This window comes from Homo sapiens, chromosome 1 (genome assembly GCF_000001405.40).
Source record: "Homo sapiens chromosome 1, GRCh38.p14 Primary Assembly".
Classification (NCBI taxonomy): Eukaryota; Metazoa; Chordata; class Mammalia; order Primates; family Hominidae; genus Homo; species Homo sapiens.
Window position 1 is genome coordinate 9,291,440 of NC_000001.11, and position 17,784 is coordinate 9,309,223.

Sequence of the window (17,784 nt, forward strand, 5' to 3'; positions counted from 1 at the left end):
CTCCCAAAGTGCTGGGATTACAGGTGTGAGCCACCAAGCCCAGCCTGGTCCTGAACTTCTGACCTCAGGTGATCCACCTGCCTCAGCCTCCCAAAGCGCTGGGATTACAGGTGTGAGCCATCATGCCCGGCCAATTATTATTATTATTATTTAATTTTTGTGCAGAGTCTGTGTCTTGCTCTGTTGCCCGGGCTGCTCTTGAACTCCTGGGCTTAAGTGATCTGCCTGCCTCAGCCACCCAAAGTGTGGGGATTAAGGGCGTGAGAGCCACCACCTCCAGCCTCAAGTGATCTTTTAAATGGGAAGCACCCCTAAGCTGCTGGCCATGGCTGCCCACCTGACTAGTCTGGGTTCAACATTCCTAAACCGCTGGCACCTGGAAAGTCAGAATGCCCACTCAGGCCCGCCCAGCCCAGGGCAGTTGGTTGAGTCTCCGTAATCCTATTCTGAGTTCAAACAAAGCTAAACCAAACTGATTTTCAGCACCGTAAAATGAGAGACATCAAACTTTGTAATCTCACAGTTCAATTGGGTTCCAAGCTCTGGACAGCTGGCCTCGGGCCAGGCACTGTTTCCTCGCCTTTACAGTGAGTGTGTCATTAGTCCCACCCTCACTGTACTGGGTTATGGTAAAGACACAGTAACTACGGAAGCCCCGCTATTTGTTTCGGCTCCCCCAGAAAGGCTAACTCCTCACCGTTTTCAATGGACACTACACAGCGAGGGGTGGGGAATGCCAGGAGATTTTGCTCTCAAAACAGCAAAGTCTTTAAAATCTTCCCAGTCCCAAGTGACTGCTCTGTTCGGGGAAGGGGGAGGAAAATTCCTTGAACGAGCTAGAGCCACAGGACAAGTCCCCAGAGGCTGGGACCTGTTCAGGGAGCAGCCCTGCGGATGCCAGGTGCCCGCGCCCTCAGGGTCTCGAGGTCCGAGGCCCCCGTCCCCGTGGGCACCGAAACGCGAGCGGCCGAAACAGCGCTGCAGGAGGCTCCCTGGACCCCCGGCGGCTGCCCACTCGTCCCCGCTGGGCACTTCAGAGGAGGCCGGCGAGGCCTTGCTCGGGGTTCCTGGGACAACCCCACTCTCCGCGAAGATTTCTCCTTCTCGTAAGACCCCCGCCCCCACTCCAGCCTCCCACGGCTGCAACCCAGGCCCTGCGCCACGCGTTTCCCAAAGACGCCTCCGGAGGGACCCGAGCTTCGGGCCGGCAACACCAGGGCGGCGGCTCGGGAGAGGGCTGCGGACTAAGGGGGCGGAGGGGGCGGCCGAACCAGCGCCGGGCTGACGCGCCCCGCGCCCCGCGCCCCGCGCCCCCGGCCTTCCCTGCAGTGCTGAGTGGTCCGTGCGCCCGAGGTCGGGGGCGGGGCGGGGCGGGGCGGGGCAGGGACGGCCCCGCCCACCGGCGCTTTTCTCTTTTTTTTCACTTTAAAGCCGTCGGTTGCTTTTTCTCCTCCGCACAGAAGTCGCGCTCGGGCAGCCTGCGCGCTCGCAGCAGGAACCAGGCTCCAGGCGCCGGCGCCGGGGCCGGGGCCGCGGGGAGGAGGCGACTTCGCTCCCTGCGGCGGGCGCGGCCCGGGCGCCCGAGCCTCCTCGGCCTTGGAGAGCAGCGGCGGCGGCGGCACCCCGGGCGCGGTAGGCGGCGCGGGGCACCTGGGACCCCGATGGGTGGGCGACCGGCCCGGGAGGGGGAGGCGCGGGGGGCCGGGCGAGGGCGGACGCGGGGATCGCGCCGCTGGGGGACCGAGTGGGTGGCGCGGGGCCGGGCGCGGGGGAGCGGGTGGAGTACGGGATGGGGACTCGGGGCGCGGCCCCTCCCGCGGTGGCTCCGGGGGCGCCTCCCTCGCCGCGGCTCCTGGGAGAGGGGCCCAGGCCCGCCCCGCGCTGCCGCCGCTGCAGGGCAGGGGGTCCCGGGGCGAGGCGCGGCGGGGGTCTCGGGGCGCGGGGACCGTCGCAACGAGTTGCGGTCCCGAGGAGGGGCTGGGGCGCTCCGGGGCCGCCGACCCGTCCCCCCTTTAGCCCGGGGAAAGCGGGACCCCGCTCGGCTGAGTTAGTTTCGCTTTTCCCGCCAGTCCGAGTCGGGATTGGCGGCGCGGCCCGGTCCCCCGTCGGGGCGCCCCCACCCTCCCGCAGCGCCTCCCCCAGGGAGCCTGCCGGGGACACCCGAGCGCCGCCCTCCCCGCCGCCCCGGAGCCGCCGCGGCTTCTCCCAGCAGCGGAGGGAGAGCCGGAGGGTTGTCAGGAAATCGATTAAATCAGAAAAACAAGGGCGGCCTGGGCCCGCGGGAGGAACCGCGGATGGGTCACCGTCCCCGGGCGTGTACTGGGCTCGGTGGCGTCCAGGTTCCGGTGAGGACGGGACGGCCCCGAGAGGAGGGTGCGGGTCTGCAGGAAGAGCGGGTGTCTCTGAGAGTGCATCTGCGTGTGTGTTTGTGCATGTCCTTGTGAATATGTGCCTGCGTATGAGTGTGTCTGTGTGTTCATGTGGGTGTGTGTGTGAGTGTGTCTCTAAGTGCATCTGTGTATTTATGTGCCTCTGAGTGTGTGTGTGAGTCTGTGTGTCTGTCAATGTGTGCCTGAGACTCTAAGTGACTGTGTGTGTGTGTGTGTGTCTGAGTGCGTCTTTGTGTATTTGTGTGTGCCTCTCTGTGTATGTCTGTGTGTCTTTGTGTGTGTCTGTGTGTGAGTGTGTATGTGTCTTTGGGTGTGTGTCTCTGCAAGTTTGTGTCTCTGAGTGTCTGTCTCTGCAAATGTGTGTCTCTGTGTCTTTGTGTCTGTGTGTGTCTTTGCGTGTGTGTGTCTTTGTGTCTCTTTGTGTGTCCACACGTGTCTCTGTGTCTGTCTCTGTGTCTGTGTCTCTGAGTGCGTCTGTGTATGTGTGAGTGTCTGTGTGTCTCCAAGTGTGTGTCTGTGTGTCTTTGTGTGTGTTTCTCTGTGAGTGTGTGTGGGGACCATCCAGGGGGCCCTCTGGTTCCTAGGTACTGCTCCTCATGGTGATTTCTTTACTTGGTTCTGGATAGCCGGGCATGCTGGGCCACAGACACCCCACTAGGCAAGCCCTGCTGGTGCCCCCGAGGAGAGCGCAGGCTCTTCCTCTCTCCATTTCTCTGAAAATGAACTACACAGTTTGGGGGTGAGTTGGCAGGGGCTGCTTCCTGAGTGAGTAATATTTAATTAAACACTCCAGTCTGTAGCATCAGAAACTGGTCATGAGTTGAGTTTTAACAGGTGTTCATGGTAAAAGCGCCATCCCTGGTGACTAAGGTTTGATGTCCTTGGAAGAATTTTCTCGTTGGGGGGGCTGGGCCCACAACTTCATTTCTCATCGTGGGGTGTGAGGAGAACAGCAAGCAAGGAAGGGGATGGGGGCCTCTCCCTTCTGCCCTGTCCCCCTCCTCAGACCCCCCTCCCAGTGGTGGAAAGCCCTGGGCTAAGCATGGGCAGCACAGGTGGTCTCTCCACACTGAGGAATTTTGGAGTCAGGGAAGTCCTGTCTTACTGTCTAGGCCAGCCTGTCCTAGAGAGGCCCAGAGAGGGCGGTTCACTTACCCAGACTGCACAGCCAGGGCTGTGGACCAAGACTCCCCAGTCCTGAAACTGTTGCTCTTGGTTACTGTCCCCAGCACTGAGGTCATGGGCCAGGCACTTCGTGTCTCCCCAGCTGTGAAGTGATGGGCTGGATTAGATCATTTAAAGCACTCCTGCTCTCTTACAGCTGCTTTTCTTCTGCAGGGAGCACTTTACCCAGTAGATGGAGTGTGTGTGTGTGTGTGAGAGTGTGAGTGTGTGTGTGTGTGTGTGTGTGTGCGCGCGTGCGGTTGGGGAGGTGTGGAGTGGACTAAGGCAATCACTTTACAAGTCTTCCTTTTCCAGTCTGGCTACCACCCTAGCAGCAGAGAAAACAAAAGCAGTAGCATGTTGGCCCCAGTGGCTCAGACAGCCCCGAGCAGGGAGCAAGGCGGGTGCCATGCCGGCTTAAGAGAGACCTGGCCCTGGGAAGAATCAGTGGGTTTCAGGGCTCTTAGGAAGGGGTGGGCCTGCCTGGGGCCCTGGTGATGTCACTTTGGAGCTGGGTGAGGCCGTTTCTTGGGCTGCTGTAGTAAGGCTGGATCCACCCTTCAGTGGGTCCCTCTGGGCTGCTGCAGAATCTCACCCCCTTGGAATCATCACAGATGTTGAATTTCTTCACCAGAGCTGGGGAATGGGGTGGGGGCCTAGCCCGTGGAAGCCAGCGCTGCCCTCCCACCCCCATGGTGTGTGCCGTGCTCCCTTCCTGCACCTGCCCCTCCTCCTGGGTGGATGGAAACTTGCCTGCAGACGCATTTTCAAATTCAGCGAAACCTCTGATTCTTACGGTGTTCATGAGTTCGTCTGGGCATTTTGTATCAATTTTTCTCGAGAAATAGGTTGTAGCTGGTGTGCATGACTCAGTGTATCTTTTGGTTCTGAAAAATTTTATCAGACGACAGCACAAGGTCAGGTACAGGTGTGCCTCAGTCTGCCCAGGGGTGTGTTATCCTCTCCCCAGCCCTCAACACTAGATCAGTGAAATCCAGACTCTAAGGGACTTCGATTTTGGACTTTCAGTGAGTGCTCTCCCCTCCCCCAGTTATCTGATAACATCTCCCCCAGTCTAAAGTTCCACTGGCAGCCAGGTGCCCGGCTCTGTGCTACAGAGTGCTTTATGGACGTGACTTTGTTTGAATCCTAAGCATAATAATAGCGGGAAATGGTTTCATGGTTTCACGGTGCGTGCGAGTACTGGCTCTGATCTGAGTCCTTGACGCATTGACTCATGGGCTTCCTGAGGACCCTGAGAAGTGGGTTTTGCCTCCATGTCCATTCTGCTGAGGATTGCAGGTAACTTGGCTAAGGTCTCGCGGCAAGGGAATGGTGGAGCCAAAACTCGAATCCAGACTTGGCACCCAAGCCCTTCACCAGTAAGTTTGTCACCTCCACCACCTGAGCCTTTTCTTCAAGAAGCATGGGCTCATTTTTTTAGTGAAATTTTTTGTTATTATGGAAAATGTCAAACACACCAAAGTTAGAGGCAGAGTATAATGAGCGATCAGGTTTCCTCACCTCGCATGCACACACATACACATACTCACATATGCACATGCATACTTATGCTCACAGAAGATGTGCACATGTGTACACACACATACATATGCACACACATATATGCACACATACACACACACGCTGGATTATTTTGAAGCAAATACAAGATGTCAGGTCATCTGTAGCTTCTTCCTAAGAAGCATTTAAAGGAAGCATCACATCTCAAAGAGGTTGACTGTTACTCTATGCGGGGCAAGAGTCGGGAGATGTACGTCCTTTCTGACTTGGGCTTGAGGCTCCTTCCTTGCTTGGACAAAGGGAGGATGGCAAAACCCAACAGCACATTGGGGGATCTGTCCTGCTGCCAACCCCCTGAAACCTTTGGGAAGCTGCCTGTTTGCTTTGTGTTTTAAAAGTTCTGTTCATTGCCCAACGTTAAAAATAAATGAGTCCAGTGGTCATGAGACAGACCACATCAACAACAGGCTTAGGCTCTCGGGGCCTTTCTTGGAGATGGGGAAGAGAATCCGCCAAGGCACAGCCCAGCCTTGCCTGCCATTGAGGTCCAGACCTTGTGCAATGCAGGCATGGGATTTGTGGCAGGGCTGGGTGTCAGGAGATGTGACTGTGAGAATGGTTTGTCAACAAGCTCTGAATCTGACCTGAAGCTTAGCCTGACCCTCTTGAGTTTACTGCGTAGGCGATGGGTGGAGGAATCCAAGAACCTCTGCCACCCTTGGGCGTCTCTTGGAAAACTAGGGAGGCATTGGGTGATTTGAGCACAAGATGAAGAAAATATCAGGATGCAAACTCCACACTTGAGAAATGACTGCTGAGTAGGAATATAGGATTCCAGGGTTGGAAAAACCTACCTGTGACAAGGGCTTGACGGGTGCCCCAGTTGTGAACACACCTTGCCAGACAGTCAGAGTGTGGCCAATCTGGTCACACCCTTTCCAAGGTCAGAGTGAGGAGCTGCACTCCACACCAAGAGAACCACTTGAGTTTTCTAATTTATACAAGCAGACACCAAGGGAGCATGTGTGGGAGTGGATATTAGGATGTGGAACGAACATGAAGTTGGATCTGGCCGAATTTATGGATATGGGCCCACTAAGCGGAGATTCTGCACTTGATGTTGTAGCTCAGGGGGTTAAGAAGAGATCTGTTTGGTTGGCTGACTGGAACATGGATCAAAGGATGACCCACTGTGAGTAAGTTGGAGTTTCTGGGTCTCCTTTGGTTTAATGTAGAGTTAGGGATTCATAGGCTTAGGTTTCATGTAGAGTTAGGGATTCAAAGGCTTAGGGACATTGGAATGCTGGAGTGGATTTGTCTCTTAAAAGCTACTCACCCACACTGGGAAGGTTCAGAAGACAGATCTTTCACGCATACGTTGAGAAATAGATTTGTGAGGGGGCCCCAGCATCCCTGAAGAGCTCCGTGATCCAGCCCTTACAGTGGGAGCCGCAGTCACTCAAATGGAAAACTTAAATGCAACGGGAGTAATTGCATTTGGAGTGCAGCGGCCAAGTGGCAGTACTCAGCCATCCAAGGCAAGGTGAGTGTGGTTACCTAATGGACGGCAGAGGCAAAGCTGCCGTCAGAATAGTCTGACTTGTGTGGATCTATGGCATTGGATAGTTAATCATGGTGTTCCTAGAAGTGAAATAGACAGGAAACCCGTGAAATTCTTACTTGATCTTATAAGTTACTTGATTCTTTTAAGTTTTCTGTATAAGCAGAAACTTACAGGTCAAATGAAAAAAAGTCTAACTTGAATAATTAAAACAGAAAAATAATTAAAACAGAAAATCACAGCCCTCAATCAACTTCCCAGACTTAACCCAGTTTACACAACTAAGCCCCCATGAATGAATGAATGAGTGAATGAATGAATGAGTGAACGAATGAATGAATAAGTGAACGAATGAATGAATAAGTGAATGAATAAGTGAATGAATGAATGAATGAATTGGAAGCTGGATCCCTTTGAAGAAGGACCTCAGTACACTAGAGAAAGTTTATGCTATTAATTTTTCTCCTAGCCTTCCCCAAAGGGACCTGTGACCTTTTACCAGAGTGAATATGTATTGAGGAAAGGGAAATAATTAGATTGTTCGGGGATAACTGGTTACTGAACTGATACTGATTCCAGGAAACCAAAAATATCACTCACTGTGGCCCACTAGTCAGAGAAGGGGCTTATGGAGGTCAGGTGATCAATGGAGTTTTAGCTTAGGTTTGACTCCTGGTGGCTCCCGTGGATCCCTGAACCCATCCTGGGGTTATTTCCTGGTTCCAGATTCAAAGTTGACATACTTAGCACCTGGCAGAATCCACACACTGGTTCCCTGCCTTGTGCGGTGAGGGCTGTTATGGTGGGAAAGGCCAAGTGGAAACCATTAGCGTTGCCTCTGCCTGGGAAAATAGTACATCAAAAGCAACATTGCATCCCTGGGGTGGGGCTGCCGAGATTAGCACCACCATCAAGGACTTGGAGGAGGCGGGGGTGGTGACCCCCACCACATCCCCATTCAACTCTCCGATTTGGCCTGTGCAGAAGACAGATGGACTTTAGAAACTGATAGTGGATTATTGTAAACTTAACCAAGTGGTGACTGCAAAATTCACACATCTCTGGTCCCTGCTACTGCATGCAGCTGTTGATCTGACGAATGCCCTTCTCTTTATACCTGTCCATAAGGCCCAGCAGAAGCAGTTTGCATCCAGCTGGTAAGGCCGGCAATGCCCCTTGGCGGTCTGGGCTGATGGGTATATCAGCTCTCCAGCCCTATGTCACAGTTTAGTTCACAGTCATCTTGATCACCTTTCCCTTCCACAGATATCATACTGGGGCTGGGCACGGTGGCTCACTCCTGTAATCCTAGCACTTCAGGAGGCCGAGGCAGGAGGATCGCTTGAACTTAGGAGTTTGAGACCAGCCTGGGCAACACAGTGAGACGTCATCTCTCTCTCTCTCTCTCTCTTTTTTTGAGATGGATTTTTTGCTCTTGTTGCCTAGGCTGGAGTGCAATGGTGCAATCTCGGCTCACTGCAACCTCCGCCTCCCGGGTTCAAGCAATTCTCCTGCTTCAGCCTCCTGAGTAGCTGGGATTACAGGCATGCGCCACCACACCCAGCTAATTTTTTGTATTTAGTAGAGACAGGGTTTCACTATGTTGGTCAGGCTGGTCTTGAACTCCTGACACCAAGTGATTCACCCGCCTTGGCCTCCCAAAGTTCTGGGATTACAGGCATGAGCCACTGCGCCCGGGCCGACATCATCTCTATAAATTTTTTTTTTTTTTAAATTAGCCAGGCATGATGGTGTGTGCCTGTGGTCCCAGCTACTTGGGTGGCTGAGGTGGGAGGATCGCTTGAGCCTAGGAGGTCAAGACTTGCAGTGAGCAGTGATTGTGTTACTTTACTCCAACCTGGGCAACAGAGTAAGACCCTGTCTCAAAAAAAAAAAAAAAAAAAGGGTCTCATGCTGGTCCATTACATTGATGTCATCATGCTTCATTGGACCTAGTGAGCAAGAAGTCGCAACCACTGTAGCCTTATTGGTAGGACATTTACATGTCAAGCGATGGGAAATAAATTCTACTGAAATTCGGGGACCTTCTCCCTTAGTGAAATTTCTCGGGGTCCAGTAGTGTCAGGCCTGTGAAGGTATCCCCTCTAAGGTGAAGAATAAGTTGTTACAGCTTTCCTCCTGCAACCAAGAAAGAGGCACAATGCCTCGTGGGCCTGTTTGGACTTTGGAGGCAACACATTCCTCATTTGGGTGTGTTACTCCAGCCCATTTGCTGAGTCACCCTAACGCTTCTAGTTTTGAGTGGGGCCCGTAGCAGAAGACTGCAACAGGTCCAGGTTGCTGTGCAACCTGCTTTGCCACTTGGGCCACCAGCAGATCCAGTGGTGGTTGAGGTCAGCGGCAGACAGGGAGGCTGCTTAAAGCCTTTGGCAGGCCCCTGTAGATGAATCGCAGTACAGGCCTTGGGATTTTGGAGCAAGGCCCTGCCATCATCCACAAATAACTTCATTCCTTTTGAGAGACAGCTCTTGGCCTAATACTGGACCCTAGTAGAGACTTAATGTTTGACCATCAGCCACGAAGTTGCCATGTGACCTGAGCTGCCCATCATGAAGTGGGTGTTATCTATGATCTGACCGACCAAACCAGACATTGGGCATGTGTGGCAGAACGCTGCCATCGAGAGGAAGTGGTATATATGGGATCAGGTCTGAGCAGGTCCTGAAGGCACAAGTAAGTGACATGAGGAAGTGGTCCAAAGGCCCATGGTTCTTACTTTGCCCACTGCCTTCTCTCTCCAGCCTGTATCTATGGTCTCCTGGGGAGTTCCCTCTGATCGATTGACAGTGGAAGAGAAGACTTAGTCAGCCTGGTTTGCAGATGGCTACAGATGGCTCTGCACTATATGAAGGCACAACCCGAAAGTGGACAGCTGCAGCACTATAGCCCCTTGCTGGGACACCTCTGAAGGATGGGGGTGAAGGGAAATCCTCCCTGGCAGAGCTTCGGGCAGTGCACCTGGTTGTGCACCTTGCTTCGAAGGAGAGATGGCCAGATGAGTGATTATATACTGATCCATGGGCTGTGCCTGATGATTTGGCTGGATGGTCAGGGATTTGGGGACTTGGAAAGAGTATGATTGGAAGATTGGTGACAAAGAAAGCTGGGGGCCTGGCATAGTGGCTCACACCTGTAATCCCAGCACTTTGGGAGGCCAAGGTGGGAGGATTGCTTGAGCCCAAGGAGTTCGAGACCAGCCTGAGCAACATAGTGAGACTCCCCGCCCCCGCCATCTCTACAAAAATAAAAAATTAGCTGGGCGTGGTAGCTCATGCCTGCAGTCCCAGCTACTTGGGAGGCTGAGGTGGGAGGATCACTTGAGCCTAGGAGGTTGAGGCTGCAGTGAGCTGTGATTGCTCCAGCCTGGGCAACAGAATGAGACCCTGTATCAAAAAACCCAACCAAACAAAAAAGCAATTGGGGGAAGATGTATGTGGATAGACCTGAGTGCGCACAGGACACGGATAGACCTCCCGAGTGCGCACAGGACATGAGGTATGTGGGTAGGATGACCTAGGTGGATTCTCGTCAGCCTCTTTCCCTGGCCACCCCTGTCATCGCCTGGTGGGCTCAGGAACAAAGTGGTCATGGTGGCAGAGATGGAGGTGATGCATGGGCTCAGCAGCATGGACTGCCACTCACCAAAGCCGACCTGGCTATGGCTACCACTGGCTGCTAGTCTGCCAGAAGCGGAGACTAACACTGAGCTCCAGTATGGCCCCATTCCCCGGGATGATCACTGCACCTGGTGGAAGGCACATTGGACCACTTCTGTTTTGGAAGGGGCAGCGTTTTGTCCTTACTGGAGCAGGCACTTATTCTGGATACAGATTCGTCTTCCCTGCACACAGTGCTTCTGCCAAAGTCACCATCCATTGATTGACAGAACACCTTTCCCACTGTCACGCTGTCCGTGTAGCACTGCTTCCAGGGAGCTCACTTCACAACCAAGGAAGTGTGGCACTGGGATCATGTGCAGGGAATTGGCCGGTGAGCACGAGCCCACTGGTTTCGCCTATCATGCTAAGTGGAACTACGGTCTTGTTATTGCCTTTATTTGGAAATTAAGTATGGTTTAAGAAGATGCCAGTGGGTGCCTATGGGTGCCAGTTGGTAAGGGGTGGACCTGTGATGATTGATTTTGGATGTCAACTTGACTAGATTAAGGAATACCCAGGTAGATGGTAAAGCATTGATTATTCTCTATGCTTCAGTACACACTGAGCCTGTCCCTTTTCTGCTGACAGGGAAGCCCAGTGGTTTGACATTGTGTAGAATGATCGGGCTGCCCCAGATGTGTCTGTGAGGGTGTTTTTGGAGGACACTGGCAATTGAGTCACTCAACTGGGTGGGGAGGATCTGCCCTCCATGTGGGCAGGCACCATCCAGTCAGCCGGGGGCCTGGAAGAAGGGTGAATCCTGGCTCTCTGTCCCGGAGCTGGGATGCTCTTCTCCTGCGCTTGGATGTCAGAACTCCAGGTTCTCTGGCCTTTGGACTCTGGGACTCGTACGAGTGGTCTCCGGAGTCTTTGACCTGGGACTGGGAATGACCACGTTCCCCACCATCCTGAAGCAGCTGACTTGAAAGAAGGGCAGTAGAGTCTTTTGAAGTTGCAATTACAATGCCAGCTAGGTGACAATACTTTGTAGGGCTGGGTCAGGGGTCTTCAAAAGGCTCTATGTACTCTGTATCAGCATCCAATATATGGTGCTGGTTTCTCCCGTAGCCAGGATTCACGGGTCCAGGAATCAAGGGGAGGAAATGGGAGTGGCACTGCGCATCATATCCCCTAGGGACCCGCTAGCGAAATTGTTGCTTCCTGTTCCTGTGACTTTATGCTCTGCTGGCCTGGAGGTCTTGGTTCCAGAGAGAGGAATGCTCCTACCAGGAGACACAACAGTGATTCCATTGAACGGGGGGTAAGGCTGCCACCTGGCTTCTTTGGGCTCCCTGTGCCTCTGGGTCAGCAGGCTGAGAGGGGAGTGATGGTGTTGGCTGTGGAGATTGATCTGGACTACCAAGGGGAAATTGATCTGGACTGCTCCACAATGAGGCAAGGAAGAGTGTGTCTGGAGTACAGGATACTCCTTAGGGCATCTGTTAGTATTACCATGCCCTGTGATTAAGTCAATGGGAAATTACAAGGATACAATCCAGGCAGGACTGTGAATGACTCAGACCCTTCAGGAATGAATGTTTGGGTCACTCTGCCACTTAAAGAACCACAGCCAGCTGAGGTGCTTGTTGCAGACGAAAGGAACACAGAACAGGACAGAGGGAGGTAGTTATAATAAATACCAGCTCCAACCACGTGACCAGTTACAGAAACAAGGGCCAGAATTGCTGGGAGTATTTCCTCCCTATTTTGTTCAGAATACGGTTGTATGCATTTACATGTATATTAGGCAAATATCTGTTTTCTTTCCTCTCTTACTCCTTATTCTTAGAACATGTGTTGAGTCTATAGCAGTATTTAAGTATTAATTTTACATCATAGTATTTAAGTTATTGAGTATCAGAGGAGAGAGGAGTGAATAGCACTCAAGGACTGTACCTCCTCTCTGGAGAAGGGATTAATGTGTCTTTGCTATGCAGGATAGTAGTGTCACGATAGGTGGAACTATGACCTTGATACTGTCCTTGGAGATTAAGTATGGTTTAAGGAGATGCCAGTGGGTGCCTCTGGGTGCCAGTTGATAAGGGGCGAACCTGTGATGATTGATTTCAGATGTCAACTTGACTAGACTAAGGAATACCTGGATAGATGGTAAAGCATTGATGATTCTCAATGCTTCAGCACACACTGAGCCCATCCCTTTTCTGCTGACAGGGAAGCCCAGTGGTTTGGCATTTGTGTAGAATGATTGGGCTGCCCCAGGTGTGTCTGTGAGGGTGTTTTTGGCATTGGAGTCACTGGACTGGGCAGGGAGGATCTGCCCTCCATGGGGTCAGCCACCGTCCAATCAGCTGGTGGCCTGGATGGAACAAAAAGCTGGAAGAAGGGCGAATCCTGGCTCTCTGTCCCGGAGCTGGGACATCCTCCTTCTCCTGCACTCGGATGTCACAACTCCAGGTTCTCTGGCATTTAGACTCTGGGACTCATACCATTGGTCCCCGGGGTCTTTGGCCCGGGGCTGAGAATGACCCCATTGGTCTCCCTGGTTCTGAGGCCTTCAGACTTGGCTGAGCCACACTCCTGGCTCCCCTGGGTCTCCAGCTTGCAGATGGCCTGTAGTGGGACTCAGCCTCCATAACCGATGAGCCAGTTCCCCTAACCCATCCTTTCTCATCTGTCTCTCCCTCTCGATCCTATGGGTTTTGCATCTCTGGAGAATCCTGGCTAATGCAGTTATGGTCGCCTTAAGAATCTGGTGGAGAGGAAGCTGGAGCTGGAAGGCCAGGGAGATGGCGGTTCATATCCCTGACCTGCCAGTTGGGATGGAAGCTTGTGGCATCTCCAAGGTGGCATGGGTAAGCTTCGGTAACTAGTTGAATGTGGGGTGTAGAGAAGGGTGAAGAATTGCAGGTGCCTCGGGTTCCCAGCTAGTTTGGGGGTCATCGTGAATAATGACCTACAGGCTGGGGGACTAGGTCCATGGAGGTGCTTTGAACCTGTCCTAAGTGGAAGTGGTCCAAGTGGACGTGTCCAGATGGCAACTGGGCTCAACGCTCAAGCAATCCTCCCACCTCAGCCCCCCAGTAGCTGGGACTATCGGTGCACACCACCACCCCCAGCTAATTTTTAAATTTCTCACAAAGACGGTGTCTCCCTATGTTGCCCAGGCTGGTCTCGAACTCCTGGGTTCAAGCAATCCTCCCAAAGTGCTAGGATTATGGGCATGAGCCACAGCGCTCACCCTCTGCTGCTTGGGTGCCGTTGCCCCATCCTGGCTTAGAAAGCTCTGGCCATTCCCTGGGCTTCACCTGCCTCCTGCGCCCAGACCCATCTGGCATTGCCTTCCCTACAGGGGCCTCTCCCACTTCTCCCTCTCGCCCTTGTGGCCCATCTGCCCCCTCAGGAGAGTCCCTCTCCTCCCTTATAGCCTCAGCCACTGTCACCTATATTCTGCTGACCCCGTCTCACACTCTTCATGCTGCCTGGTCCCGCCTCGGCTGGCCCGTTCCTACCGGCTGGCCCATACCCTCTCGCTTCACTTTCCAAAACCGGATCCCCTCACTCCTCCCCTCTTCCCAGGGATGTCCCCTTCAGCAGGTAGCCCTGCCATCCACGGTCCACCCTGTCACCCAGACACATGCACCCTCAGCCATGCCAGGGACAGCTGCTGTTGTGGGCAGCCCAGTGACCTGTGGGCTCCAGGAGGGCAGGACCCGGCCGGCCACATGGCTGTTGTTCACGGCTGAGTCCCCAGTAGTTAGGTCCACAGTAGGTTCTTGGACACCTGTCGGATGAAGGAGTAGGTAAGACCGGTGGCGTAGTGGATCCTAGCAGGGTCTGGGAGAGCTCGATGTGGGCCCAGGGTGTGGGTGCTGGGGGTGGGGACTCCCCGTCACGGAACTAAACTGCCAGGTGTTCCGTTCTCAGACCAGACTTCCTTCCATGCCCCGTGGGAGGTCAGGAACTCCGAACAAGCCTCTGTTCTCAGGAGCTGTTAGTGGGCCACTTGTCATTCATGCTTTTATTCAAACATTTGCTGAGCACCTACTGTATGCAGCCAGTCTGCTGGGGCCGAGGATACAAAGAATGAGGAAGCTTTCTCTGTCTAGTGGGTGAGACAGGCCCGTCTCTGCTGATGATAGCGCTCAGGGTATCAGAGGACACTGGTGGCAGGGGTGGCCAGGTTGGAAAGGCGGGAAGGGTGCCCATGTGTGGCCAAAATGAGTGCAGAGAGGCAGGAGGGCCCACAGACCTGGGGACATTTGTGCAATTGCGAGTAACGTGGGAGAGGGGTTCGTGCTTTAGGGAACGAAGGCGTGTTGGGGACAGAGCAGTGGTTTTTGAGAATCAGCCAGCAGGCTGAGTCCCAGCCATGCTCCTGCAGCGGGAGGAACCGAGACATGGGGGTTGCTAGAGGGCGAGCCTCACCCTTGACCCCACAGGGCAGGGACTGAGGGCACCTCAGGCGATTGCCTGTTGCCATCAACTGCCTTCATCCTTTCGGGTGTGCCGAGGGATGGCCGAGCTCTGGGCCTTCCTAGCCGCGTCCTGCAGCAGTCGGCTTTTCTGCTCTGTGGTTTCCACCACGGAGAGCATTTGGAGCACAGCAGAGCTGGAGTGGGAGGGATAACCAGTTTTCCTTTGTGATGTCCAGCCTGGAGGAGGTGGAAGATGGATGGAGTGGAGGGGGCTGTGGGAGGTGCATGGACCGGGGTCTGTCTATAGTGGGGTCAGTGACAATAGCCATCAACGATGTGGCATATCTGAGCACACTTCCAGGTGCTGTGCATGCATCAAGTCATTCAGTCGTCATAATGTCCGTGATACCTATAGGGTAGGTACTACCCATTTTACAGATGAGAAAAACTAGGGCAACTCTGGGCCTCCCTGCCACCCAGGGGAAGAGCTGGGAGCTGAGCCCCAGCAGCCAGGCTCTCAGTCTTACTCTTCAGCACCATTTGCCACAAAAGAGGAGCGAGGAAGAAATGAGCGATCCGAGAGATAGGTCAGCAGAGTGAATGTCACTGTGGCTGGGTAAATAGGCTGCAGGGGGCTGATGAGAGTCAGAAGTGGTCCTAGGTAATGGGGATTGGTGTCTGAGCTAAGGAGAGAAAGTAAAGTCAGCTCCAAGCAAGATGTCCTGGACATGCAGATGTGCTCTGTGACATTGGCTAATTAGGGTGTCTTTTTTCTTTTACTTTTCTTCTTTTCTTCTTTTTTTTTTTTTTTTAAGTGGAATCTCGCTCTGTCATTCAGGCTAGGGTGCAGCGGCACAGTCTCAGCTCACTGCAGCCTCCGCCTCCCAGGTTCCAGTGATTCTCCCTCCTTAGCCTCCTGGGTAGCTGGGATTACAGGCACGTGCCACCACGCCTGGCTAATTTTTGTATTTTTAGTAGAGATGGGGTTTCACCATGTTGGCCAGGCCGGTCTCGAACTCCTGACCTCAGGTGATCTGCCCGCTTTGGCCTCCCAAAGTGCTGGGATTACAGGCATGAGCCACTGTGCCTGGCCGTCTTTTCTCAGTTGAGGTGAAATTCACATAATGTAAAATGAGCCATTTTAAAGTGAACAGATCAGTGGCATTTGGTATATTCACAATGTCGTGCAACTATCCCCTCTGTCTAGTTCCAAACCATCTTCATCCCGCCGGAAGGAAACCCCATCCACATTCGGCGTCACCTCCCATCCTCCCTCCCCAGCCCCTGGGAACCAATCTGTATTCTGATTTGACGGGTTTGCCTGTGCTGGACAGTTCATATAAATGGAACCATACGTTGCATGGCCTTCTGCGTCTGACTTCTGGCTAATTAAATTTTGCATGGAAGATTGAAGCATTTCCTAAGTGGAAGCTGGATTTCCCGTCCTGGCTCAGTTGTAGAGGCCACGTGAAGGTGGGATGGAAGAGTCTGATCCAAACAGCTTGTCTAAGAGGTTGGCTGGGAAATAGGAACACCTGTCTTTCTGTCCATATCCCTCATCACCAGAGACTCAGCCACCATCCTCTTGCAGCCAGCGATCTTGTTACTTATTTGTATCTTTTCCCGTTGATCTATTAAAAATGACACCTGTTGTCAGCTCCCTTCTTGAGCCCATCAGCAGTTCCCATTGCTATTACGGTGAATTTGTAAATCCATGATGTGGTCTTCGGGGTGCGCGTGGCCCCTCCCAGGCTTACCCTGTGCCACTCCCTCCTCGCCATGGTCCCCCTCAACTGTGATGCCAGAGGTGCCCCATGGGGACCGACCCTGAGGCTGGGAGTCTGTAACTCATGGTGCTCCTCCTCCTGGGGGGCAGGAGCTGTTTCCAGGATTGGTTGCTGACAGTATTGCAATTTGGTGCCCCTTCCAAATCCTGTTAACCCGTCTGGGACCAGAACTTCAGCTTTAGCAAGTTACTGTCTTAATTCCATTCCTTCCAGTGTTTTCCAAGACATGTCAGGCCCAAAGGGGGTGGACTGCCTCTCATTTGACAGAGAGGATGACAGAAGTGTGCTTAGGAGCTTCTTGCCAGTGCTGTTGGGGCAGTGCTGCAGTTGCCCTGACTGGTGGCACCTAGCAAGGGGGCCATTTGCCCTGGGCCCATCCTTGGTGGGGTCATGGATACCCAGGTCCTGCATACCCAGCAGTAGGTCCTGCATACCCAGGGCCCCCGGAGCCACGGTGCCCTGACTGTGGGTCGGGGGACAGTTTCTAGAAAGCAGATGGGTGGGGTTGCCTCAGGCACGAGAGAAAACCTAAGCTGTCATCAACTGGGGGACCACTGGCCCCTTCCTTGTTGGAGCTCCCGACAACTTGTTCCTGCCTTTTCCCTCCCATGCTGGGGCCGGCATTTAGTTTAGGGTGTCTCAGATCCCATCTGCTGTGAGTGTGATTCTGCCTGAAATAGTCTTCACATGTATTGATTGAATGTGTGCCATGAGCCAGGCGCTATGCTTGCCACTGTAGATGGGTTTTTAACCCCTTAAACAGTCCTGTGAGTTAGATGTTACCTCCCGGTTTACAGATGAGAAAGGAGGACTTTTTTTTTAGAGAGGTTTTCTGCGTTGCAGGAAGTGGCATGACTCCCTGGATGCTGGAAGGTGGGCCTGACCCCACAGCCTGTGTTTTTTTCTACTGCGACAGTGGAACGTGCCAGTCCTGTTGATTGGGCACCTGCTATTGCCAAGCACAGCTTGGGAGGCGTGTGATGCACCTCCAGGCCCCTGAGAGCCTGTGGCCCAGCAGGTGTATGCAGGAAACATGAGCTCCCTGCCAGGGGCTGGGCGGGCACCAGGCCTGCGTGGGTACAGAGGGCCTCCTGAGACTGTCAGGAGGGTTTGTTCTAGGCTGGGGGGTTTCATGGTAGGGGACCAGGAGATTGACTGCCATGAGGAGGACCGGGAGAAGGCTGCAGAGCTGTGTAGCAGGGAGGGCATCAAATGCCAGGCCCAGGGGTCGTCGGTGGGCATGGGGTGTCCTTGCACTTCCATGCCATTCACCTCCAAAGTTGTTCCTGAGATGTGCAGATA

The 17,784-nt window shown here is 53.6% G+C and overlaps 1 protein-coding gene across 1 annotated transcript in view, besides 5 other annotated features; it reads left to right on the forward strand.

The window, feature by feature from the left end:
• Positions 1,120 to 1,289: a silencer, noted in NCBI's record as "silent region_217". NCBI's record gives its function as "represses an Ori minimal core promoter by ATAC-STARR-seq in GM12878 lymphoblastoid cells {active_cell/tissue: GM12878}" and the evidence as "EXISTENCE:reporter gene assay evidence [ECO:0000049][PMID:35858748]".
• Positions 1,340 to 1,419: a silencer, noted in NCBI's record as "silent region_218". NCBI's record gives its function as "represses an Ori minimal core promoter by ATAC-STARR-seq in GM12878 lymphoblastoid cells {active_cell/tissue: GM12878}" and the evidence as "EXISTENCE:reporter gene assay evidence [ECO:0000049][PMID:35858748]".
• SPSB1 (splA/ryanodine receptor domain and SOCS box containing 1) overlaps positions 1,455 to 17,784 on the forward strand; it is a 76,639-nt gene continuing 60,309 nt past the window's right edge. Inside the window, exon 1 of the mRNA NM_025106.4 lies at positions 1,455 to 1,632. The gene's annotated coding sequence lies outside the window, so the exon portion shown is untranslated. The remainder of the gene's footprint in view (positions 1,633 to 17,784) is intronic.
• Positions 1,490 to 1,559: a silencer, noted in NCBI's record as "silent region_219". NCBI's record gives its function as "represses an Ori minimal core promoter by ATAC-STARR-seq in GM12878 lymphoblastoid cells {active_cell/tissue: GM12878}" and the evidence as "EXISTENCE:reporter gene assay evidence [ECO:0000049][PMID:35858748]".
• Positions 2,100 to 2,389: a silencer, noted in NCBI's record as "silent region_220". NCBI's record gives its function as "represses an Ori minimal core promoter by ATAC-STARR-seq in GM12878 lymphoblastoid cells {active_cell/tissue: GM12878}" and the evidence as "EXISTENCE:reporter gene assay evidence [ECO:0000049][PMID:35858748]".
• Positions 13,429 to 14,276: an enhancer, noted in NCBI's record as "H3K4me1 hESC enhancer chr1:9364927-9365774 (GRCh37/hg19 assembly coordinates)". NCBI's record gives its function as "activates a minimal SCP1, AML or CMV promoter by ChIP-STARR-seq in naive H9 embryonic stem cells {active_cell/tissue: H9 hESC(naive)}" and the evidence as "EXISTENCE:reporter gene assay evidence [ECO:0000049][PMID:30033119]".